We start from the raw sequence: 27820 nt of genomic DNA, 5'->3' as shown, positions 1-27820 counted from the left end.
GTGGGGTAGGGGTGGGAAGGAATACATTTGGCAGAGGATGAAGCCATGTTACTTCAAAAGGGGAAAAAAAGAATATAACATAAAAGGGAAAATATTTCAAATTTGTAAGGAAAAATTGTTTTCACCAGAAAAATTTCCTCATGCTCTCATTTTTGTTTGGCTTTGTCTACTCATGGCATTCCAAGCAATCTGTCTCTTAGCACCACAGCTGTGAAATATATGCACTTACGGAGACTTCCCGGTTAGCCTCTTCACATTTCACTGGGTTTCATTGTGTGCAATGTCTTGCCATTGACTCTCACACTGTGCTGTGTATACTGTTTCATAATTCTGTTTTACAGAATAGCATTTTCATCTAATAGAAGTTAACATAATAAGGGAAATGGTGACAATAATATATGGTCACTAAACCATATTGCCATTTTGGAACAGTTTATTATGTACACTATGATCCATGTTATTCTAAAAGAATGGATGCATTCATGAGTAAACATAAGTACAGACTTTATAACAGAAATTTGCCTCTACTAGATTAGGAGTTGGCAAACTTCTTTGTCAAGGGCTAGAGAGCAAATATCTTAAGCTTTGTGGGCTATGCTGTCTCTATCTCAACTACTCAACTCTGCCATAGCAGGGAAGGCACCCAGAGACAGTACACAATATATGTAGACAGTAGACAGTGGACAATATGCAATGAATGACTGTGGTTATCCTAAACTTTATTTACAAAAACACACGGCAGTCGTGTTTGTGACACAGAGATGTAGTTTCCTGACCTCTGATCTAGAAGATAGGTATGTTTGCAACCACAACACAAAGGCTGCCCTGAGACTCTAAGCACTAAACATCTGTTTGGCAATTTACCTGAAAAGTTGTGGTTTTTTTTTTTTTAAGTTAAAATTAAAATGACTTTTCTCCTGAGAAAATATTTAAAAGAGTAGGTTTTGGCAAGTAAGTTGAAGGACACACTAGTTATTTTTCTACATCACAATAAAATTAACATAAAACAGGTCATTGGAAATAAAAGAATTTTTTTTATACATTGAATACACTGCCAATGCCTGGATGAGCCTTGAGCATCACAGATCTTTGGCTTAAAGCTTTGCCCATGTCCAGAGTCTCCCTCACAGGAAATCGATTGTAGAAGGTCAAGTTCATGTGTTTCCAGACTCACCTCCTCCTTTAATCTTGGTGCCATCGTTGGCCAGTGTACTGACTATTATTAAGGCAAAGCCAAGACTTGTAGAGATTCTGTATGATTTTTCAAGACATTGAAAAATGATTTAATTTTCAATTTGAGGTTGATGGTGATAGTCCTTTCCTTAATTTGGGAGTCTTCCTGATGTTTTAACAGACATTTCCCAGTCAAAAATTTGTTTGTTTATTTTACTGTATCTTTCTTGAGACAGGGTCTTGCTCTGTTGCCCAGGCTGGAGTGCAATGACACAATTACAGCTCACTGCAGCCTCTATCTCTTGGGCTTGAGTGATCCTCCCATCTCAGCCTGCCAAGTAGCTGAGATCACAGGCATGCACCATCACACCCGGCTAATTTTATTTTATTTATTTATTTTTATTTTTGTAGTGACAAGGCCTCCTTATGTTGTCCAGGCTAGTGTCAAACTCCTGGGCTCAAGTGATCCTCCCACCTCGGCCTCCCAAAGTGCTGGGATTACAGGCATGAGCCAATGCTGAGACAGGAATTGGTTTAAATTACAAACAAATGAACTGAAAAGAATCCCATGTCAGGTGGCACATTGTTGAGCATGAAGGGAAAGCAGTGTTATTCCCTTGCCTACCTAAATTTCTTTCTGCACTGAGCTGCCGCCTTAGACATAAAACACTGGCAGGAAGTAGAAATGATTGTATTACAGTATTAGTGCTTGCATATTAACAGAATTTATTCTAAAATATGCAAGTCACATAAATTGAAAGATTGTCTTGTTAAAGAACAGGGCTGCCCTGCTGAGTCCCAAGATAACAGGAATAGACCTGCCTTCTTATTTCTCAGAAAACAGGAGGCAGCATCTTGGGCTGGAGCAGAGGGGAAGGATTCTGTCTCTAGAATTCCTTTCCTATCTTTCCCTGGCTGACCCTGTCTTACAGATCTTTCCTTGTCTTAAACTGGGCTTCTCCAATGGCATAGCGATTAAGACAGCAATTTTACACTACTTTTTATTACTCAACATCTGACTGCAATATTTATTTTCATATTTGGCATTGGACTTTTATTAGCCTTCCTCCTTGAGGTGTTCAAACAAAGCAGGCAGGAGGACAGGCAGCTCATCTCCTGTGTGGTCAATGTCTCTTGAATAAATGAATGAATGAAAATCTGCATTTATTCATTCATCCATTCCGTGAAAATTTATTGAGTACCTACTGTATACTAGTAAAGAAAACAGGCAAAATTCCTGTCCTAATGGAGCAAACATTCTTTAAATTCAGAAAATTTTAAATAATGATATTAATTTAACAAGTGGAAAGTTCTACGGAGAAAAGTAAAACAGGAAAGGGGAAAGGGAATCCTATAGGAACTGAGTAGCCTAGTTATGGTAGCCATGGAAGCCTTAAATACAGTAGCCAAGGAAGCCCTCACTAAGGAGACATTTGAGCAAAGACTTGAAAGAGGTGAGAGAGAGAGAGAGCCTTGTTGACTTCTGAGGGAGAGAGCTCCAGGTGGAGACAATAGGGGTAGAGCAGAACCCTGAGGTAAAAGCTTGCCTATGGGAGAAACAGCCTGGGGCCCGGAGGCTGAGAATATAAAAAGGACAAAAAGGAAGAGGCTCAGACCATGGAAAGGACTCGGGCATTTATTCTAAATGAGGCAGATCAATCGCTTGCTTTTTCAGGTTTTCAAGAGTCTATTAGGGCATGACCTGTTCAATGGCTTTAACCCCTCATTCCGATAAAACGAGTTGACCCTACATGTCTGTTATTCTTTCATTGTCTATGTTTAATTTTCTGATGCATGAAATAGGAATAACACCTAGCTTTCCTTACAGAGGTGGTTGAAGGGATCCAATGACCATCAATATGGAAGCATAAATTTAGACTGTTCAATAAATTGGCAACACAACTATTTCAACAACTTTCTATTAAGTGCCTACTATGGGGAAGGCAAATTAAACCTTTGTGTAAGAGAGGAAGGAAAAAAGATAAAAGAATTGGAAGGGGCTGGAAAGGAAAGCAAAACCAGTAAGATGGGGGAGGAGGAATAAGAAAAGGGAAAGAAAGGTGATAGTTTCATGTGTCTAACCACAGGGATAAAGAGCGTGGCATTTGGGGTTGGATTGACCTGGTTTCAAATCTCAGATAGTCCACCTACTGGCTGTGTGACCTGGAGTAAGTCCCCACTTTGAGCCTATTTCCCTCTATGTAAAATTGGGGTTTGACATCTGCCTTATGGCACATTGTCAGGATTAAAAGAGAGATTGCACTAAATACCTAGCACAATGCCAGCACTAATTTACTTAGTAAATATTAACTACCTTCTTATTATAATTGTCATCATCATCAGCAGCAGCAGCAGCATCCCAGGAGGACAGGAAACTAGAAGCAGCTCTGCATTTTCTGACAGGGGAAGATAAAAGTAGGAATAGGAAATGCCTCTTGAATGGAAACTCAATTGAGTTTAGAATTCATTTTAAAAGCAGCTGACTGTAAGATTATGCACTGGGACTCAATTTATTACATGAATTGGGATGAGCCTAAAGGGACATCTTTTCAGTAATTCAAATCCCCAGGAAGTTGGCTTAGCTGGGAAACAGGAGTTATCCTGGAGAATATATATCTATAGGAAAGAACATAGAATTCTGGAAAAACTTGGTGATGATTCCAAATTAAAAACAAATATAGAAGACCTTGTGTGACTTGGATAAAGACTGTAATGTATTAGCAGTTCCAGGAAAAGTAAAAGACAGATTTGGAACTGAGCAATACAAAAATGAAATAGTGCTATGCCAAGGAAGAAGGGATTGAGTTAATCAGCTGCCAAGTGCCTTTCCATTTGGGACAGACAACGATTGTAGCTGGCAGCAGGAACAGCCAAAGACTTGATATACATGAATCTCACAAAATTGTCTGAATATATTTTGTTCTGTAATGGGCATCTGCCACTTTTTTGTTTGTCTGGTGTTCCTTACTGCAGAAAACTGCCCCTCCCGAACTCCAAATCATTCTCTTGAGTCTATGGATCAAAGGGCCCTGCTTCTCCCACTACCCTGTGATCCAGGGTGTTCAATCAGAACACCCCATTTCCTGAGTCACAGTGATTGGTCCAGAGGAATACACATGACCCAAGCATGGCCAATCAGTGCTCTCTGGAGTAATTGTCATGGATGCTGGCCGTTGAGTTTCTCCTTTTGAGACTGCTAGCTGTCAGTACCATACAACCCTGGAGCTACCTGAAGCCTTCTTGCCACCATGTGGAACAAGACTAAACATCAGGTCCAAACCTAGGCAAAAAGAATCAAAAGTGAGGGGAGAGGGGAAATGAGAGAGCGGAGAGGGCGGAGGGGAGATTTTGCTACTTTAACTCGAATTGGGATTCTTTTCATTTGATTAAGAAAAGCATGAAAGATAAAGCTGATTAGGGAAGGACCCTGCTCTGGCCTCTGGATTTCACCTTTTCTAAATCATTGTGATCCTGAGGATTTGCATGAATGGAATACTTTGGGTCTAATATGATTTATTGACTTGTGTTTTACTTGTATTTTCATCAGTAAATATTTCTGAATATATCTCTAAAAGATAAAGACTCTTAAAAATACCCATGATACCATGATCACCCCTAAAAGAATGGTGAACAGTAATTCCTTAATGTCATAAAACTCCCAGTTAATGTTCAAATTTTGGATTTGTACACAAGATTTAAAGTCAAGCTGAAAAAAAAAATGTGAAAGAAATGAAGACTTTAACCAAGTGATAAAAGCAATTTGTGGCAACCTAAATAGGGTACACAAATCTCCACCTAGAAAAGATAAGATAATTAATGTTTTAAGGTGTTATAAAAGATTTGGGAAAAAGTATAATGTGGGGTTAAAATGGCCAGGAGACATTGTCTGCCAAATCAATCCCAACAAAAAGACAGGATCTTGGCCCCTCATGGACACAGCATATAGAAAAAGACTCAGTGTGTCTGTCTGTGGCTTGGGCAGAATCATTCTAGAAGTTTGTAGCCTATGAACCATGTTTATCTTAAACATCTGATAAATAAGTAACTATATCACAGCCCCAGGTCTTTCAACCGCGTAACCTCAGCCCAGCTGGGATGTAAAACTGCTCCCCTTCATAGGGAAATGATTTTACAATTATAGGAGTGCTAAAAATTGAACATAAAGATCATGAAGTAAATTGGACCCACCCAAAGCATTAATACTGTTTAATAGGTTTAGAAACAGAAGTTATAATTTTTGTGTTTAAAGTATTAGTAATGTTTAATAAAACCTAACATTAGGAAATCTGACAAATTGATCTTCATAACTTCTATGTGAAATTTATAATCAATTTTATTCTCATTATCTTAAGTCACAGAGTTGATAATTTGATAATGTTTATAGACAGTATTTGAATATTTTGACTCATTATGGTTTTAAGGGTGAATTATGAGATTTACAATTTCTTTGATTTTGCCTTTTGAGGCTTAAGTTGGCCTTGTGAGGCAACTCAGTTGCTTGATATAATAAATTAGAAGTGTTTTTAAAAATTTAGGGGAACTTAATTGATGGCTTATTACTATGACTATAAAGGATTTTAATCCGCTAAAATTGAATTAAATAAGTGGAAGGATGATTTCAAATTATGTAAAAATTACTTAGTTTATAAGTAAAATCAAAATCACAAAGTGAACTTAAAGTCCTAAGAAAATTATAGTTTCGTTTGCAACTTAAATTAATTAAATGTTATTTTAATATTCAAATACCTATACATGGTTCCTTTCTATGCACAAAAGCCTCCACTTCCCACTTTAAAAACACATCAACACACATGGTAAGGAAAATCACTATGCATATAGAAGCCCAGGATGCAACAGCACTTCCTGTATAGTAAGAAATGTGTGGTCTTTGTGGGGCATAAGGTAATGCAAACTACATAAAAATATGCACCACACGCAATGCTGATCCAGGCAGACCAGCTTCCAGGAACTAAAATAAAAGCAAAGAATCAACAACTGAGGCGATAATTACCAAACAACCATTCATTCATTTATTGTTTTCTTTTATTCAACAGATATTTACTGAATGTGTACTACATGTCAGGCTCTATTTTAACAGTTTAAGATATAGCTGAAGAAAGGAAAATATAGATTACAGGTTGGATGTGAAAAAGGCAAAAAAGAGTAGATAAAGTAATTGAGAATGAAGGACAGCTGCCCGATGAAGGCAGCTTTGATAGAGGAAAAAGCAGCTTGTCTTGTCGCAGATTCTTAGTTTTGCCCTATGTCAGCAAACATGGAACATAAGAAGCAAGAACATCTCAAGACATCCACTGAAGGAAGAAGAGGAGAAAATAAAATAAGAAGACAAAAACGACAATAACGTATTCAGCAATAATAGATGGCAGACACAAAAGAAGGAACATTGGAGGGAAAAAGTAGTAGGGCCTGAAACAAGTGGCAGAGGTGGACAGCACAGTCATCACCCAAAACAAAAGCAAGTGGAGGTGGGGAGTTCAAACACAGTCTTATGGAACTGATTAAAATGACATAAATATGGGTAAAACACAGCATAAAGTAGGAACAGGCAGTATAAAAAATAAGAAGAAAAAAGTAAAAACCCCCAAAGGGCTAAACCTATGGAATTCTGAGAAGAAAATATGGATATGAGTTGAGACACAAGAAAGAACATTGAATACTAGCAAATCTTATTCCAAAGGACTGCGGTCGGGATCTTCCTTTTGATCTGGAAGGGAGACTCATGGTACAGTTGCAGCTCGAGAGGAGAGGCACACAGTCAAGCCACAGAGGAAGGAGATGTGCTTTTGGGAAGTCCTGATGACCACACCCCTGGCCGGGCCTTCCAGTGGTCCATAGGCTGCCAGCCAGAGAAATGGAATGAGTAATGAGAATGATGATAATTGAGGAGAGCAGTTGTGTTCTGATTATTTAAAAACTATTCCTAATATACAAGTAAAATATTCATTCTAGAAAAATTCTTTGAAAGAAAGATAATCGAATCAAATATGAGTAAAAGAAAATTCACGATCCTAAACAGCGATGTTTCTGAGGGAGAAAATGCCACTGACATTTCTAATTAGTCATTTGAAGTTTTTGCAGGAACTGCCCACCCAGTCCCATCCCCCCCCGCTAAAGTTGGCAGTGATATTCCATATACAGGACAGGTAGTAAACAGGACTGCCAAGTACCAATCAAGAATAAATATTTCAATCAGCTAATGCAAGATATTCTCTATGAAAAATATGATGGCAAGTTCTGTAAAGGGATCCTCTCAAGTATTCATCACACTACTGATTATCACATGCATAAGAGGAAACAACCGCAGATAAGGAAAAGAACCATCCCACAGGATTAAGGGGAACAGTATCAAGTTCTTACACATGACTGGAAAAGGGCTTACTTTCATCAGCCAGACTAGAAAATCTCCTAATTCATGAATCACTTGGTAGAGTACTCAAAGAAATCTTGCCTCAGTAGTGGAGCATAATTAGCCCTAAACTAAACACTTCTCTGGTCCTGATTAACAAATCATAAAGGTTTGATCCCCAAACACAAACTGTTTCCAAACAACTCAACTGCTCAAGAATATTTATAGAAATAAAAAAATTCAACACTCAATAGGAAAAAAATATACAATGTCTGGCATACAATAAAAAAATGACCAGGAAGGCAAAGAAGCAGTAAAACATGACCATAATGAAGGGAAAACAATCAACTGAAACCAAACCAAACCTGAGGCAGATGTTAAAATTAACAAACAAGGATATTAAAACAGCTATTACAGCTATATATGTTCAAAAACTTAAGTAGAGACACTAAAAGATATTTAAAATGTATACATCAAACTTCTAGAAATGAAAAAATATGTTTGAGATTAAATGTATTTTAATGTATCCCTTTATCTCAAAATACAGTCAAATTGGGGGTTAAGGTTTTGCCATATGAATTTTGGAGAGACACAATTCAGTCCATAGCAGCATGGTGTACCTTTTCCAACCTTTTACATTTAACCATTTTTTTTTTTTTTAGTATGGGAAGTATTTTTCTTTTATAGGAAGAATAGAGTTGAATTTTGCTTTTTTATGCAATCCTGACAATCTCAACTGGGGGAGTCAAAATAACGTGTGTGTGTGTGTGTGTGTGTGTGTGTGCGCGCGTGTGTGTGTATCCATCAAAGTTGTAGTTAATAAACCAACAGAGAAGATAAAATGAGTTAATAAAAATAATCCAAAAGAAGGCAGAAAAAGTACAAAGGGAGAACAAATAACACTTGGAATAAATAGAAAGCAGATAGCAAGGTGACAAATTTAAACCTTAGCATATCAATAATCACATTAAATGTTATTATTTTGACCCCCCAACTGAGATTGTTAGGACTGGGTAAAAATGCAAAATTCAACTCTACTCTTCCTATAAGAAAAACACTTCACATACTAAAAGAAAATGAGTTATATGTAAAAGGATGGAAAAGATATACCATGCTGCTATGGACTGAACTGTGTCTCTCCAAAATTCATATGATGAAATCTTAACCCCCAATTTGACTGTATTTTGAGATAAGGGCATTAAGGAAGTGATTAAAGTCGAATGAGGATATAAGGGTGGGACTCTAATCCAACAGAACTGGAAAGGAAGAGACACCAGAACTTGCTCTCTTTCTCTCTCTCCCCACCCTGCTCTCTGCTTGCACACAGAGAAAGCTGTGTGAGGACACTACAAGAAGGTAGCCAGTTGCAAGACAAGAAGAGAGACCTCACCAGACACCAATTCTGCTGGCACCTTGATCTTGGACTTCAGTCTTCAGAACTGTGGAAAGATAAATGTCTGTTGTTTAAGTTACCCAGCCTGTGCTGTTTTGTTATGGTAGCCTGAACAGCCATGTTAACATGCTAAGACTAATCAAAAGGAAGCTGAAGTGGCTATATGAATGTCAGAGCAAGAGCAAACAATATTAATATCACTGGGAACAAGGAAGTTCGTTTCATAATGAATAAGGGGTGAATTCATTGAGAGTACGTAACAATCCTAAATGCTTATGTACCTAATAAAATCAATTTAAAATACAGGAAGCAAAAATTCATTTAACGGCAAAGAGAAATAGATGACTCTACAACTATAGACAAATATATCAATACCCCTCAATAATAATAGAACAATATCAGTAAAGATATAGAAGACTTGAACCAAACTACCCACCAACATGACAAATTGGCATAGAACACCTCACCAAACAACAGCTGTATAACACATTTTTTTTTCAAATGCACATGGAACATTAAAATGATAGTCTATATTGTGGACCATAAAACATGTCTCAATATGTATGAATGAATTGAAGCCCAACTGAATATTTCTTCTAACTATAATGGAATTAAATTGGGAATCAATAATAAAAAGTTTTATGGCAAATTCCCAAATACTTGCCAACAAAATAATACACTTCTAAACACCCCCATTGATAAAAGAAGAAATCAAAAGGCATATTAGAAAGTATGCTGAACTAATTGAAAATTTAAAAAATAACATATTGAAATTTGTGGATGGCACTAAAGAAGTACTTCAGGGGAAATTTATAGTACTAAAATTTATAGTACTAGTATTACATGTATAGTACTAAAATTTATAGTACTAGTATTATATTTATAGTATTAAATACCTCCAGTAACGGAGAAGAAATTTCTCAAATCCATGATCTCAGCTTCCCCTTAAGAAGCCAGAAAAAGAAGAAAAAATAAAATGCAAAGTAAGCAGAAGAAAGGAAATAATAAAGATCAGATTGGAATTCAATGAAATAGAAGTCACAAAAACAATAAAGCTTAATGAAGCCAAAAGCTGAATATTAGAGAAGGTCAATAAAAATAATAGGTGTCTAGTCAGACTGATAAGGACAAAAATGGAAAACAGAAATTACTAATATCAGGAATAAAAAAGGTGAAATCACTACAGATGCTATAGATATTAATAGGATAATGAGTATGTTGTGAACAACTTTATGCCAAAATTATTATTTTTTAATTTTCACACTATTGGAAGTTCAAATGCCAAAATTATTGACAACTTTGATGAAATGAAATAATTTTTTAAAACTTTGGGGGGTACATAGTAGGTGTATATATTTATGGGGTACATGAGATGTCATACAGGCATGCAATGTGTGATAATCATATATGGAGAATGGGGAATCCATCCCTTTAAGCATTTATCCTTTGAGTTACAACCAATTGAATTATACTCTTTTAGTTATTTTAAAATGTACAATTAAGTTGTTATTGACTACAGTCACACTGTTCTGCTTTCAAACAGTAGGTCTTATTCATTCTTTCTATTTTTCTATACCCATTAACCACCCCCAAGTCCTCCACAGCCCCCCACTACCCTTCCTAGCCTCTGATAACCATCCTTCTACTCTCTCTGTTTGAGTTCAATCATTTTAATTTTTACATCTCACAGATAAGTGTGATGTTTATCTTTTTGAGCCTGGCTTATTTCACTTAACATAATGATCTCCAGTTTCATCCATTGTTGCAAATGACAGTATCTCTTTCTTTTTGATGACTGAATAGTATTCCATTGTGTATATGTACCACATTTTCTTTATGCATTCATCTGATGATGGTTACTTAGGTTGCTTCAAAATCTTGGCTATTGTGAACAGGGCTGCAACAAACATGGGAGTGTAGATATCTCTTTGATATACTGATTTCCTTTCTTTGGGATATATACCCAGCAGTGGGATTGCTGGATCATATAGTAGCTCTATTTTTAGCTTTTTGGGGAACCTCCAAACTGTTCTTCATAGTGGATGTACTAATTTACATCCCCACCAACAGTGTAGAAGGGCTCCCTTTTCTCTACATCTTCAACAGCATTTGTTATTGCCTGTCTTTTGGATATAAGCAAATTTAATTGAAGTGAGATGATATCTCATTGTACTTTTGATTTGCATTTCTCTGATGATCAATGATGTTGAGCACTTTTAATTTTTCAAAGGACACAAACCACCAAATTTCGTTTAAAAAGAAAAAGATAATGTGAACAACCCAATATCTGCGAAAGAAATTGGATTTGTAGATAGAAACCTTCCTACAAAGAAAACTCCAGACTCAGGTTCAGTGGAGAATTATATCAAACATTTTGAGAAGGAAATAATATCAATTCTGTATAAACTCTTCCAAAAATTTGAAGACAAGGTAATAACTCGCCACTCATTCTATGTGGTGAGCTAAATACTCTAAATACCAAACAAAGACATGAAAAGAAGTAAAACCACAGAGCAATATATCTCATGAACATAGATGTGAACGTTCAAAACAATATTTTAAGGAATCAAATCCAACAACACATAAAAAGGGTAATACATAATGACTAAGAGGGGCTCATCCTAAGAATGCAAGATTGGTATAATAAAAAATCAATGTAATTTATTAACATATCAAAGAAGAAAAACCATATGATTATATCAGTGGATTTAAAAAAATGACAAAATCCAACAGCCATTCCTGATGAAAATTTATAGTAAACTAAAATAAATGGGAACTTCCTCAACCTGATAAAGGGCATATACAAAAAAGTATAACTAATACCATACCTAATGGCAAAAGACTGAATGCTTTCCTTCTAAGATCAGGAACAAGACAAGGATGCTTGCTCTCAAACTTCTATTCAGTACTGTATCGGAGATTGTGGCCAGTGCAGTCATAGAAGAAAAAGAAATAAAGAGCATCCAGATTGGATAAGAAGTAAGACTGTCTTTCCTTGCCAACAACATGATCGTCTATGTAAAAAAACTGAAGAAATCTATAAAAACAACTTGCAGGACTAATAAGTGAGCTTAGCAATTTCACAGAATATGCCATCAATATGCAAAAATAAATTTTATTTCTTATATTCTGTCAACAAATAATTGGAAAATGAAATTTTAAAAATAACACCATAGGATGAAATTATGAAATATTTAGGAAAAAAATCTAACAAATATAGGCAAGATCTTTTCATTACAAATTACAAAACCGCTGAGAAAAATTAAAGAAGGCCTAAATAAATGGGAGAGATGTACATTGGTATGGGTGAGAAGACTTCATATTGTTAAGATGTCAGTTCCTCCTGAATTGATCTACAGACCCAATGCAATCCCAATAAAAATCTCAAAAGGTTTGTTTGTAGAAATCAACAAGCTGATTCTACAATTCATATGGAAATGCAAAGGACCTATAAGAGCCAAAACAGGCTGGGCACAGTGGCTTAAGCCTGTAATCCCAGCACTTTGGGAGGCTGAGCCAGGCAGATCACCTGAGGTCAGGAGTTCGTGAGTAGCCTGGCCAGCATGGTGAAACCCCATCTCTACTAAAAATACACACACACACACACACACACACACACACACACACACACACACAATTAGCCAGGCATGGTGGCTTACGCCTGTAATCCCAGCTACTAGGGAGGCTGAGACAGGAGAATTGCTGGAACCCAGGAGGCAGAGGCTGCAGTGAGCTGAGATTGCGCCACAGCATTCCAGCCTGGGAAACAGAGCAAGACTCCATCTCAAAAAAAAAAAAAAAAAAAAAAAAAGAGCCAAAACAATTTTGACAAAGAAAAGCAAAGTTGGAGAACTAACTGTGTACTTTCAAGGCTTATTATAAGACTAATCAATACAGTCTGATATTAGAATCAAGATAAACAAATATATCAATGGAACAAAATAGAGTCCATAAATAGACCAACACATATTTCAGCAACTGATGTTTGGCAAAAGTACAAAGGCAATTTGGTGAAGAAAGGAGAGATTCAACAAATGGCATTGGAACAATTGAATACATGTATGCAAAAAAAATTAATTTTGTTTCAACCACACACAAGGATTAGCTTTAAACTGATCACAGACTTCAATACAAAACCTAACACTAAACCCAATAGAAAATCTTTGTGATCATAGGTTATGCAAATATTTGGTAAACATAACACCCAAGCATAATCCATGAAAGGAAAAAAGGTAAAGATTGAGCCTCACCAAAATAAAAAATTTCTATTCTTCAGAAGGCACTGTTAAAAGAATAAAAAGTCAAGCTACAGATTGGAAGAAAACATTTGTAAATCATATCTTTAATGAAAGCTTTGTATCCAAAATACATAAAGAAAACTGAAATCTCAATAAAAAGAAAAAAAAACAATTTTTTAAACGACCAAAATATCTGAACAGATACTTTTCCATAAAGATATACAGATGACAAACAAAAACATGAGAAGATAGTCAATATAAATAGTCACCAAGGAAATGTAAAATAAGACTGCAATAAGATACCACAACATAGCTGTCAGAATGGCTGATAGAGTTGACTGCCAAGATAAGGATGTGGAGAAACTGGAATTCTCATATACTGTAAAACACTTTGGAAAACAGTTTGACAGTTTCTTAAAAATTTAAACATATGCCTATCATATAATCCAGCCATTCCACTTCTAAGTATTTATCCCAAAGAAATGAAATCCCAGCCCATACCAAGACTTGTACATGAAGGATCACAGCAGTTCTATTTGTAATAGCCAAAAACTGGAAAAAGCAAAACAAAAACCAGATTTCCATCAACAAGTAAATTTGTTAATTGTGGTTTATCCACAGAATGAATGTATTGTTACACAGTATAGTGTGAATAATCTCAAAATAATTATGCTGAATGAAAGAAGTCAGATGTAAGAGTACATACTATATGATTTCATTGATATAAAATTCTAGGAAATGCAAGCCAATTTATTGTCACATAAGCAGAACGGTGGTTGCCTGAGATTGGGGGAGTGGGAAGAGGTAGGAAGAAGAGATTATCAAGGTGCATGAAGAAACTTTAGAGCATGATGGTTGGTGGTTATGTTCATCATCTTGATTACTGTGATAGTTTCAGGGGTGTGTACCTAAGTCCAAAATGTATCAAACTGTTCACTTTAAATATGTGCAGTTTATTGTATGTCAATTACACCTCAGTAAAATTGGTAAAAACTAAATAAAAGTAGTGCTTGCATATGAATTTTTAAAAACCCTTAAAATAGGACAAAATAGAAATTTCTCTGAAGATTGCTTCCATAACACTGAATATGGTTATGCCTCTCTTTACTAACTTGTCAAGTTTAAACATTCGTTGATCTCTCATTTTAAAAAAATTGAAAAAATAAATTTTCTCAAGCTACTACCTCCCTTTTCCGATCTCTGCCCATTAAATTTTTATTTTTTAACTTTTTCAATGTTTTGTGTTGTATTTTCATTTAACTTTGTACCTGACAAAGAATTGTATATATTTATCATGTCAATATGTTGTTTTAAAATATGTATATATTGTGAAATAGCTAAATTGAGCAAATTAACATATGCATTAGCTCACATACTTAACATTTTTATGGTGACAACACTTAAAACCTATTCTCTTAGAGCAACTTTCAAGAATATAAAACATTGTTATTAACTATAGCCACAATATTGTACAATAGATCTCCTGAATGTATTCCTCCTGTCTAACTGAAACCTTGTATCCTTTGACCAACATCTTCCTAATCCCCCTCCCCGCATTTTCTTTACCCATTCATCCACTGATGGACACTTACATTGATTTCATTTCTTGGATACTGTAAATAATGCTGCAGTGAACATGAAAGTGCAGATGTCTCTTTGGCATACTTATCTCATCTTCTTTGCATATATACCCAGAAATCCCATTTCTGGGTAATATGTAGATTTATTTTTAATTTTCTGAGGAACCTCCAGACTGTTTTCCATAATCAATGTACTAATTTACTTTCCCACCAGCAGGGTACAAGGGTTCCCTTTTCTCCAGATGTTTAGTTGTTTTCCATCATCATCATCATCATCGTTATCATCGGTAACATATGATGATATAGAATAATTTTTTATGTGCCAAAGACTGTTCTAAGCACTTTATATATATCAACTGTTTTTATTTTCAAATAACTTTGTGAAATATTAACTATTTATTTTCAATTTTTGCTGAGAAAACCAAGGCACAGATAAGCAATTTGCCCAAATTGAAGTGTGTGGCAAAAATTCAAACGCAGGTGTTCTGGCTCCAGGATCCATGCTCTTAACGACTATGTTATAGTGCCTCAGTGTGATATCACTACAATTAACAAATTTATATAAGATACTTGAAACCCTATTTTGACTTCTCAAATGTAGACACAATATCTCTTAATTCTTTTTATTTCTGATGAAAAGAATCCAACATCATTACATCTTGTTCCTTTGCTCCTTCCCTCTCTCCTAACCTCCATTCCAGTGTACTATTGTTTTCACACTTGTCCTATAACTACAATTAATCTTTGATGCATTGTCTATAAATTGATTTTTTAAACTGAAAACTGAAAAGTAGCATTCATAATATTCGTAGGGAGATCATTGTTCACTGCAGAACCAAGCACAGCTGTGCCCTTGAGCCTATAGAGGAGACGTAACTCTTGTCAATAAACCTTTGCTATTGGAAGAAGAAAATTACTTCACAGTTTGGAGAGTGTTTGGATGATACCTTATCACAATGACCTACCATGCCTTTGCCTTGTCACAAGACCACTCAGCTTCTCAGTCATTCAATTTATAGAAGAAATCCATGTCCTCCTGAAAGAGATTCTTCACAGAGCATCTGACTTCTGGTTCTAATTCAGACTGATGGCTTTCTAGGCCTGCCTCAAGGTTGTCATCCTGGAATTATATTTCATTACAATCTTGGGTGAGATCCACTGTTCCTTAGAGGCCATGGCTTCCTCCTACTTGGATTCTTTTTTGTTTTGCTTCAGTAATTCTTTCAGAAATAGTCTGTGGGTGGTAAATGGTCTGAGTTCTTGCATGCTTGAAAATGCCTCACTCTTGATCGATTGATAGTTTGGCTAAGTAGAGAATTTTAGGTTCAAAAAACTTTATTTTACACATTTTGAAGGCATGCTTCTTGTTTTGTTTTTCTTAGCATTTACAGTTGCTGATGATCTATCTAATACCAATTGGATTCTCACTGAGTAATCTATTCTTTTGGCTTTTAGACTCTTCCCTTTATTCTCAATATCTAAAATGTCACAAGAATGTGCCTTGGGCTAAGTTTGTTCATTCATCCTATTTTGCATTCTCTAGGGTTCTTACAATCTCAAGTCCTATTTCCTCACTTATGGAAAATTCTCTCTTATTCTTTGTTTTGTCTCTTTCTGAACATCCCTTTGGATGCTTCTCTAATCTCTTCACTTTTCTCCCACATTTTCCATCCTTTATCTTTTTGCACTACATTTAGAGCAGTTTCTTCAACTTTTTCTCCCAGGTCTTCCCTTGAATTTCTAACTTTAACAATTACTTTTTCATTTTAATAACTATTTATTTTGTTTTAGTTGTTCTTTCTTAGCAATCTAATTTTGCACTAAAAATGCTTTCTCTCGACTTTGTTTCCATGAGGATACTACATAGAATAAAGAATTTTCTATGTCCTGAATTATCTATTTCCTCCAGAGTCAGGGTATTTTTTCTCTCAACCTGCTCTTTTGTCCTCATTTTTCTTCAGGTTTTCATAATCCTTGGCTATAGATTCATACCTACAACTGAGGTAAGTCACCTCATTCAATGCAGATAGCTCGGCCTTGTCCAGCTCTCTCTTGTCTACACAAGTGGCTGTCACTGGCAGCCTTTGCTTTAGACCTTGTAGTGAAAGAAGAGGAGGTTGGAGGTCCCCCTCCCTACTTCTCCCACTTCCCAGCAAAAGTGGGAAGAAGTTTACTCAGATGAGGCATCACCCCAACTAGGGCTCCTTCTCACGAAGACTATTCAATTATTTTAAATATTAGTCCTCTGGTTTTAGCCTGAGCATGTGATGCAGGGAAGGAGAACATGGACTATGACTCACGCAGTTATTCCACAGTTGATTTCTTTCCAACTCTCCTTTCATACTCCAAGTGTTGAGCTTCTCTCTGGGTCTGTTGCCAGGAAAAATAGCTCTAGCCTCTACTGCAGCCTTCTCCTGTGAATGTGATTTAAGCTGTTAATACAATTCCAAGTATTCCCACTTTCAAGAAACTTATCTATATCCCTAGTTCCTGATGCCCTTTCTTCTGTACCGAGTAGTCTTTAATTTATTACCCTTAGTTCTTCTTTGCTGACATTTCTATGAGATTTAAAGTAGAAAGGAGATATGTGCTGTGTCTGCCATCTTGAATGAGAATTCTCTTTGCCTCTTTGGACATCTTTGTGCTTTTCTCATTTTGAGGCAAAAGACTCCATATAGCTTCTTCTCAAGGCCATAGGACAATACAAACAATTCCTTAATTTATCTTCTACTTGTCAGCTCTCCAAATATTTGAAACTAGTTTTATATTCTCCTATGGTGTCCAGGATAAATATTTCTAATTCCACTAACCATACCTCACTGAAATTTTGGTACTATCATTCCAATCATTTTCTTCTGAACTTTCCCCACCTTCTTAAATAATTCAATGCAATACCTAAGGTACTAATGCTCGAAACTACTTCAGAGTAACCTAGTCTTCCCTACTACATCACATACACACAATGGCCAGCTACTTCCTTCCCTTCCCTAGGCAAATAAAATTAATATTACATCTCTACCAGCTGCTGTGAAAACTCTATGCAATGGCGACATATTTAAAAGCCATGAAATTATGAGAAAATAGAATTTCTGTCCGAGAATTTCCAGGCCCCCTAGCATAACTTCTAACTTGTACATAATTACTTTATCACAGAAATAAACGTTATTCAAAAATTCTTAGTTTTAGTCACTTTGGAAAGAATAATACTATGTGTTAAGAAAGAAATTTGGGATAACTGTTCCTAAGCTGATTAAAGTATGCAGTTGAAGCCACTATATACATATATACATATATTTTTTTCTTCAGTTATTTGAACTGGAACTCCAAAACTCCAACACATTTCCCATTTCTCATGAGCAAAAATGAACACTTTTCTAAGAGCCTCACATTATTGTAAAATTGCCACTAATTAAAATGTGTGTAATATTTAAAAATCAATAAAAAGAGGGTAAAGGTAAGTATTATATCCACCTAAAACAGTATCACTATAGTGACATCCCTTTATAACAACGTTTAAGAAAATTAAATAAAATATTGTCTTACAAAGTTACATGGTACAGTTCTCAACTAACACAAAGATTTTTCTAATACGTGTAGCTTCCTTGGAATTTTCTTTGCCCCAGTTCCTTGGAGAGACTACTTGTAAACCCCAAAAGAAAAAGGTTTTTTAATATGTGTAGGGAAAGATTTATTTCAGATGTATTTTTAAAACGAGATATTTAATAGGAATTTAAAAGATGTTTTCAAAATCTACATATTTGTTTATCTGTTGAAAAGAATTAAGAAACTATTTCACGCTAAGCACTAGTGATTTATTAATATAATGAAAAAACTTTCAGTCTCTATTCTCATAGATCTTGCACAGGTGAAAGATATATTGATTCAAATTTGTTAAAGCACTTTTTTTTCTACACTTTGTTTAAGGGAGATTTAAATGCGCACCAAATATATGCCGGCCTGGAGAAGGCAAAAAGCCTGGCAGCGGCCGGGCGTGGGGGCTCACACCTGTAATCCCAGCACTTTGGGAGGCCGAGGCGGGCGGATCACAAGGTCGGGAGATCGAGACCATCCTGGCTAACACGGTGAAACCCCGTCTCTACTAAAAAAATACAAAAAATTAGCCGGGTGTGGTGGCGGCCTGTTGTCCCAGCTACTCAGAAGGCTGAGGCAGGAGAATGGCGTGAACCCGGGAGGCGGAGCTTGCAGTGAGCCGAGATCGCGCCACTGCACTCCAGCCTGGGCGACAGAGTGAGACTCCGTCTCAAAAAAAAAAAAAAAAAAAAAAAAAAAGCCTAGCATCTTTTCCATTCTCTGGGTCCAATGCACTGTGTCAATAACACTTGTGCAGTGTTGGCTATGAAGATTCAGCAGTGAAAATTTAGTTGGAAGTTAAGAATACACCTCAGGAAAAAATTATTTCATTACCCCATTCTTATTTTCTCTGATCAATGAGAATTTGGAGACCAGACATTCCCGTTTCTACAGTTGCATGGCGACACCTGCATGCCCAGTATTGGTGGTCCTGTTGAATCTCCTACTTGTAATACTGGGTCTCCTGCAAGCCTCGTAAAATGCATGCTCTGCCCTGGACAGCCATCTTTAGTTCACAGGGCACACCTGCTCATTCACACTTCCTTTCCTTTGCCTGAAATGCACTTGCTATTCTCATTTACCTGGAGTCTTCTTACTTCTGTTTCAAGGCTCAGCTCAAACACTGCTTCCTCGGGGAAGCCTTCACTGACTCCCGGGGTGGTGAGTCAGCTCAGTGGCCTTGTAGCAACAACTGTGAGAAAAGACAGAGCAGGAAATGGATCTCGGCTCTAGTTCTTACCAGATTTGTAGTTATGTAAACTTTCTGAATCTTAGTTTTTCCCATCTATAAAATACAGATACTTACCTTGCAGGGCTGTTTTGAGGATGAAATGCAATGGTGAAGATAAAGTCCCTACACAGAGAGCTTGGCATGACAGCACACAGTGTTTTCTATCCTCCTTGTTTTTAGCCACACCTTTGAAAGGCAGGAACTTAAAATCTCATGCTTAGATCCACCATGGTCTCTATTATGGAAATCATTTGGAAAACAATAATATGAAGTTAAAATTAAAGCCAGCATTATTAATCAAAGCTTGTTAAAGATTTTCCAATTATTTACAAAGCTCTTTCATGTAAAGTATGACTATGAAATAATTAGAATGATCTTTTACTTGAAATGTATACAAGCAATACTTTCAAAGATGCTGATCAAAAGCCTCAGCACTCTGTGTGAGAACCTATAAATTTTACATAGAGGTCAATGCTATATTCTTAGCAATCACATCTGCTCTTTTACCTACTTTACAAACTCAGAGGTAGGCAGGAAGTACACAGTACACCGATAGCAAAGATTCCCAGGGACAATAACAATATAAAAACAATAACTTTTTTTTTTTTTGAGACGGAGTCTCGCTCTGTCCCCCAGGCTGGAGTGCAGTGGTGCAATCTCAGTTCACTGCAACCTCCACCTCCCAGGTTCAAGTGATTCTCCTGCCTCAGCCTCCTGAGTAGCTGGGATTACAAGCATGTGCCACCATGTTTGGCTGATTTTTGTATTTTTAGTAGAGACAAGGTTTCACTATGTTGGCCAGGCTGGTCTCAAACTCCTGACCTCGTGATCCGCCCGCCTCAGCCTCCCAAAGTGCTGGGATTACAGGTGTGAGCCACCACGCCGGGCCAGCAATAACTTTTGTATTTTATAAGAATTTGCATTACTTCAAAGTCTTTCACTCATGTCTTAAACATTCCACAAACTTTCATTACCCCTCACAACATCCCTGAGGCAGGTCAGTAGTGCTCAGTTGTCCCAGTTTCCAGAAGTGTATGCAAAAGTCCTTCAACATCAGTATAACAGAGTAACAGAGTGATGCTGGGTGTGGTTTTTTTGTTTGTTTGTTTAAATAGGAGGTCAGGAAGATGGAATACTCCTCAACAGGTGAGAAGCTGTTATGCCTTTCCAAGTAGTATTTGTTTCCCATGGGCTATATGTTTTTCGTCAACATTTTTACTCTGTTTCAAGAAATTTGGGAAACATAAGTGCCTTACTCACTCACTCACTCATTCTGGTTAAAAACAGACTTTCAAGTGTGAATCCTTGGTTCAATTCCAACTCTACCACCTTTTAGCTATGAGGCCTTGGATGAGTTACTTCCTCTGTGTTATGGACTGAATGTATGTATCCCTCCAAAATTCATATGTTAAAGCCCTGTCCCCACTGTGATGGTATTAGGAAGTGGGACTTTTGGGAGGTAATTCTGTTTAGATGAGGTCATGAGGGTGGGAACCCAATGATGGGATTAATGTCCTTATAAGATGAGCAAGAGACCACACTCCCTCTATTTCCATCATGTGAAAACACAGCAAGAAGGCAGCTGTCTGAAAGCCAGGAGGAGGGCGCTCGCCAGAACCGAATTTGCCAGCACCTTGATCTTGGAGTTCCCTGCTTTCAGACCTGTGAGAAATAAATGTTTGTTGTTTAAGCCACCCAGTGTATGATATTTTGTTATAGCAGTCCTAGCTAAGACACTCTGTCTATGGTTTAGCTTCCCCATCTGTAAAATGGGGATAACAATAGTACCTGCATCAGAGGGCTATAGGGAGCAGTGCCTGGCACATAATTAGTGATCCTAATTATTAGGAACTATTCTTGTTAGCTCTTCTTCCTATTCTAGGCACTGAGATGCAATGATGAACAATGGTACTCAAAAGATATTTAGCAGATGAATAATGCAAAACCATAATACAGTGAAACCATAAATATAGGTTTTGGATACCCAGGTGGTTTTGATGAATGACTGATGTCAGAGGAGAAAAATTTAAACATTCATATGAGTAAGCCTCAACAACAGGCTCATTTGCCCAACAGCAGAAATTTTAAAAAATGAAATTATTTGCCTAATATCACAAAAGACAACCCAATGAAAGTAAGCCAAGTAGCTTTGTGCCCAAGTGTTACTTTTTCAACTTGGCTGTAGTATGCATCCCTTTTTGTAAGCTTATAAACTTTATTTAATTGTCAGCCAAATACACTGACTCTCCAATGAGGTCATATTTGGAAATATATGTATCAACATTTAAACAACTCAAAACCATAAGAAAATCTTAAATACTTCAGCCAAATTCTGTCTCAGAATTGAAACGTGTGATGTAAAAATTAGGGGAAGGCATATTATGAATTGGATCATTGTGTTATGCTACCTTTTATATATAATGAGTACAGAGTACAGGCATTCAGGATACCGTCACTAAAACCGTTTGCAGCACAAACCAGTTCTAACCACTGCTGAAAGTTCTAACACTACTAAAAAATACTCAAGAGAGTATAACTACAATATTTACATCTGCCTACAAGAACATGATCATCTTAAGTCTCAATTTTAAATACTGGTATTTTCTTTTAAAGTTCTTCAAAGTGTGTGTACTGTGAAAAGGGGAATTTAAAAAGAATTACTATCGAAAGCTGCAGGGGAGTTGGAGCAAATTACGGAAGATGTTTAAAGAGTAAATGTAAGTAATTGATACAAAGTGAAAATAGCACAGAGGGCTAAGGAACAGAGAGAGGCTGGAGGGAGAAAATTACTTCCAATTGAGAAAAGGAGAATGTGTGCATTTGACTATGCACTCTCTTCCTTTTTATTTTTCCAGAGATGATAAAATATTAGGAACTGTGAGTATTTCAAAAGTTAATTGGTATTAAGAAAGGCCTTTTCAGAGATCAGCACAGGTAATACTGTATTTACTGTGAAGGAAATTAAGGGTTGGTTTATTTAATAACTAATAAAAATGGATTGTTGACAAGAGAGAATAGAAAATCCAGAGAGAACAGTGAAGTCTTTTTACAAAATACAGTAATGGAAAGCTGCCTTCAATGGCTGTGAGTCCTGAAACCACAAATGGTTTCTCAAAATCTCTGAACAAGCCACACACACAATATAGTACAATACACCACACACACACACACACACACACACACACACAAAAGCTCTTTCTCTTTCTCTCTCAAAAGTAATGATTATAAAGGTGAGAATTAGCTATTACTCAAAAGTTCCTTTGCAGGTAGGTATTACGTTACCCTCAATTTTGCTTTATTTAAATAGCGAATTAAATTTAAATACAGAGTTCTTTAATATTTTTGCTTCTGGTGGGTTTTGGTTTTGGCAAAGAAAGAAAAATAAACTGAAAGGGCAAATTTGTGCTCTTTTTTATTCCATTTACTCAGTGTTCTCATAGTGGCAACTTATAGGGGCTACAGATAGAATAAAATTTGTCATTTTATTGTTCCCTATATCAATGTTTCTTTCTGGAGGAAATGAATCCCAAGTATGTGTGTATATCCAAAATATTCATTAAAGTGTTATTAAACAGAAAATATGCCCTAACATGTTTATACTGATTTTCTCTTGATATTGTAATAAATTACCAAAAATGTAGTTGTTTAAAATAATGTGAATTGATTATCTTACAGTGTTTTAGGTTAAAGATTCAATACAGTTCTCACTAGGTTACAACCAAGGTGTCAATAGGACTTCATTACCTTTGCCTTCTTCCACTTTTAAGGATTACATTGGACCCACCTAGATAATCCAAGCTCCTCTCCACATCTCAATGTCAGCTGATTAGCAACCTTAATTTCCATCTGCAACTTTAATTCCTCTCTGTTATGTGTACTCAGTGCTCTGGCTACCATAACAAAATACTGCAGGCTGGTGGCTTAAGCAACGGACACTGATTTTCTCACAATTCCGGAGGCTGGAAGTCCAAGATCAAAGTGCCAGCAGGATCTGTTTCTGATGAGGCCTCTCCTTGGTTTGTAGATATCTGCATTCTTGCTGTGTCCTCACATGGTGTTTACTCTGTGCACATGTAGAGAGAACGTGAGCTCTGATGCCTCTTCCTCCTCTTATAAGGACACCAGTCCTATTAGATTAGGACACTGATATGGTTTGGCTGTGTCCACACCCAAATCTCATTTTTCATTCCCACCTGTTGTGGGAGGGACCTGGTAGGAGGTAACTGAATTATGTGGGCAAGTCTTTCTTGTGCTATTCTTGTGATAGTGAATAAGTCTAATGAGATCTGACACGCTCTCTTTGCCTGCCGCCATCCATGTAAGATGTGACTTGCTCCTCCTTGCCTTCCTCCATGATTGTGAGGCCTCCCCAGCCATGTGGAACTGCAAATCCATTAAACCTCTTTTCTTCCTAGTCTCAGGTATGTCTTTATCAGCAGTGTGAAAATGGACTAATACAGTACATTGGTATGGGTAGAGTGGGGCACTGCTGAAAAGGTGCCCGAAAATGTGGAAGCGGCTTCAGAACTGAGTAAAAGGCAGAGGTTGGAACAGTCTGGAGGGCTCAGAAGAAGACAGGAAAATGTGGGAAAGTTTTGAACTTCCTAGAGACTTGTTGGATGGCATTATGCTGATAGCAATATGGACAATAAGGTCCAGGCTGAGGTGGTCTCAGATGGATATGAAGAACTTGTTGGGAACTGGAGCAAAGGTAATGCTTGTTATGTTTTAGCAAAGAGACTGGTGGCATTTTGCCCCTGCCCTAGAGATTTGTGGAAGTTTGAACTTGAGAGAGATGATTTAGGGTATCTGGTGGAAGAAATTTCTAAGCAGCAAAGCATTCAAGAGGTGACCTGGGTGCTATTAAAGGCATTCAGTTTTACAAGGGAGGCAGAGAATAAAAGTTTGGAAAATTTGCAGTCTGACAATGCAATAGAAAAGAAAATCCCATTTACAGAGGAGAAATTCAAGCTGGCTGCAGACATTTGCACAAGCAACGAGGAGGCATATGTTAATCATCAAGACAATGGGGAAAATATCTCCAGGGCATGTCAGAGGTCTTCACAGCAGCCCCTCCCATCACAGGCCTGGAGGCCTAGGAGGAAAAAGTGGTTTCGTGGGCTGGTCCCAGGGTCCCCATGCTGTGTGCAGCCTAGGGATTTGGTGCCCTGTGTCCCAGCCATGGCTGAAAGGGGCCAATGTAGAGCTCAGGCTATGGCTTCAGAGGGTGCAAGCCTCAAGCCTTTGTGGCTTCCACGTGGTGTTCAGCCTGCGAGTGCACAAAAGTCAAGAATTGAGGTTTGGGAACCTGTGTCTAGATTTCAGGAGATGTATGGAAACACCTGGAGATGTCCAGGCAGAAGTTTGCTGCAGGGGCAGGGCCCTCATGGAGAACCTCTGCTAGGGCATGTGGAAGGGAGATGTAGGGTGGGAGCCCCCACACAGAGTACCTACTGTGGCACTGCCTAGTGGAGCTGTGAGAAGAGGGTCACTGTCCTCCAGACCCCAGAATGGTAGATCCACTGACAGCTTGCACTGTGTACCTGAAAAAAGCCACAGACACTCAATGCCAGCCAGTGAAGGCAGCCAGGAGGGAGGCTGTACCCTGCAAAGCCACAGAGGCAGAGCTGCCCAAGACCATGGAACCCACCTATTACATCAGCATGACCTGGATGTGAGACATGGAGTCAAAGGAGATCATTTTGGAGCTTTAAGATTTGACTGCCCTGCTGGATTTCAAACTTGCATGGGGCCTGTAGCCCCTTTGTTTTGGCCAATTTCTCCCATTTGGAATGGCTATATTTACCCAATGCCTGTACTCCCATTGTATCTAGGAAGTAACTAACTTGCTTTTGATTTTACAGGCTCATAAGCAGAAGGGACTTGACTTGTCTCAGATAAGACTTTGGACTGTTGACTTTTGAGTTAATGCTGAAATGAGTTAAGGCTTTGGGGGACTGTTGGGAAGGCATGATTGTTTTGAAGTGTGAGGACATGAAATTTGGGAGGGGTCAGGAGTGGGATGATATGGTTTGGCTGTGTCTCCACCTAAATCTCATCTTGAATTCCCATGAGTTGTGGGAGGGATGTGGTGGGAGGTAGTTGAATCATGGGGGCAAGTCTTTCTCATGCTGTTCTCGTGACAGTGAATAAGCCTCATGAGATCTGATGGTTTTAAAAAGAGGAGTTCCCTGCACAAGCTCCCTCTGTCTGCCTGCTGCCATCCACATAAGATGTGACTTGCTACTCCTTGCCTTCCTCCATGATTGCGAGGCCTCCCCAGCCATGTGCATCTGTAAGTCCATTAAACCTCTTTTCTTCCCAGTCTTGGGTATGTCTTTATCAGCAGTGTGAAAATGGACTAATACAAACAGCATCCTTACAACCTCATTTAACCTTAATTACTTCCCTAAAGGCCCTATCTCCAAATACAGACACATTGGGGGTTAGGCTTCAACATATGAGTTCTGGGAAAACACAATGCAGTCAAAACATCATGCAACCTAACCTGTTCACATATTCTGAGGATAAGGACATGGACATCTTTGGCCAAGCCATTGTTCTGTCTGCTGTGATGCTGTACTTTGAATTGCAAACCCCTGATGGTGATATGCTCGAGGTCAAATGAGGGAATCATGGTAAGTCTGAGCTCAGACTGGGTGAGCAGGAGGAGGAGAAAGACACTGTGTAGGACAGCTGCTCTTTTGCCTTTTTTCCCAAAGTGGTTATAATAGAAGCTTGGGCCACTTCCAAACAGAGAGCCAACCTTCCTCTCTGGCACTGGTTCACAGAATAGCAACATGAGCGCTTAATCAGAGTAAAAGGTGGAAGTGGCCATGGTGTCAGGGCCTCTAAACCATGGGATTATCAAAATAGCAGCACTGTGGTGGCTCGCAGGTGCCCAGAAGTTAATCTGAACACTATTAAATAGTGTGTGCTAAGCAGATCCTGGTCAGGGGCCTGGGAGTCAAGTACTCCATCCTTGGTTTTAAAATTCTCATTTCAAAATATCAGGATGCATGGATCAGACAAGAAATAAGCGCAATGTACTATTTATTGTAAGGGAGCATGTCTTGAAAAAAGTCCAGAGAGAAGCTGATTCCCAGAGTGGGAAAAACCTCTCATCTTTATGTTCCCTTTTTATCATTCATGAAGGTCACTGGGCTAATCAGCCCATTACTCATCATTTGTGCGTCAGGACACACAAGAATGTAGCCATCTTGATAAAAGGCCTCACTGCTCTCAAAAGGAAATAATTAGCCTAGAGGGTAAGAGACTTGCAGATTCCAAACCTAAAAGGAGATAGGGAGTATCTGAAATAGGAAAACAACTCAACTGCAGCTCCCTTCTACCTTGTCATCCCAGGGAGGCCACCTCTTACTGCTGGCCAGAGGGCTTGTTAATGATGTTTACCCAGAAGTAGCTACCATTCTGATATCACCCAAAAGATCAAGCACTGAAAGTATAAAAGAAAGGAGACTAAGATGATTAAGAAATACTTGCTGTCCTTTTCCCATACCACTGAAGGCATACACACATATGGACAAATATCACATTAAAGAACAAATTAGTAAATTATACTATGGCCGAGTGTGACAGCTCATGCCTATAATCCCAGTACTTTGGGAGGCTGAGGCAGGCGGATCACTTGAGGTCAAGAGTTTGAGACCAGCCTTGCCAACATGGTGAAACTCCGTCTCTACTAAAAGTACAAAAATCAGCCGGACATGTTGCCACATGCTTATAGTCCAAGCTACTTGGGAGGTTGAGCCAGGAGAATCGCTTAAACTCGGGAGGTGGAGGTTGCAGTGAGCCGAGGTCTTGCCACTGCACTCCAGAATGGGTGACAGAGCGAGACTCCATCTCAATAATAATAATAATAATAATAATAATAATAATAATAGGAAGAAGAAGAAGAAGAAGAAGAAGAAGAAGAAGAAGATACAAAAGCATCTGTGCTCTTCATATTATACAGGTTTGTAAAGGAAAAACCCAACAACCTATACATTAACTGAGATCTAGTCTCAGCCATATCCTGAAAACAATGTCCATGTGTCAAGACAAGAATTGAAGCAATGCACACTGAAATAGAAGTCTATTATTCAACCACTAAACTGCCCCTTCCTATGCCTATGGAATTTGCTAATTAGCAATAAGACATTGTTAATCAATTATAGCGTTGTTTTCTGCTGAACCCTGAGGAAACTGCATAATCCTAAGGCAGGGTTCTAGGCAGCCACTACCAAG

The 27820-nt window shown here is 37.7% G+C and overlaps 2 long non-coding RNA genes across 4 annotated transcripts; one reads left to right on the top strand and one right to left on the bottom strand.

The window, feature by feature from the left end:
* Positions 1–4194: 4194 nt before the first annotated feature.
* On the top strand, positions 4195–9368 carry LOC124902958 (uncharacterized). 2 transcript variants are annotated; one of them, XR_007063355.1, is made up of 2 exons: positions 4195–4445; positions 6228–9368. It is a non-coding gene; the product is annotated as an uncharacterized LOC124902958 (long non-coding RNA). The 2 variants fall into 2 exon arrangements; XR_007063356.1 differs by having other exon boundaries at positions 4397–4473.
* Positions 9369–13246: 3878 nt separating this feature from the next.
* LOC105369816 (uncharacterized) lies at positions 13247–27477 on the bottom strand. 2 transcript variants are annotated; one of them, XR_945052.3, is made up of 3 exons: positions 19649–27477; positions 19425–19534; positions 13247–17165 (listed from the first exon to the last, which is right to left on the bottom strand). It is a non-coding gene; the product is annotated as an uncharacterized LOC105369816 (long non-coding RNA). The 2 variants fall into 2 exon arrangements; XR_945051.3 differs by having other exon boundaries at positions 19425–27477.
* Positions 27478–27820: the final 343 nt, after the last annotated feature.

The sequence above is a fragment of the Homo sapiens genome, chromosome 12 (assembly GCF_000001405.40).
Source record: "Homo sapiens chromosome 12, GRCh38.p14 Primary Assembly".
Lineage (NCBI taxonomy): Eukaryota > Metazoa > Chordata > Mammalia > Primates > Hominidae > Homo > Homo sapiens.
The sequence above is the reverse complement of the archived record's forward strand: the minus strand, read 5'-3'. Positions and strand labels throughout refer to the sequence as shown.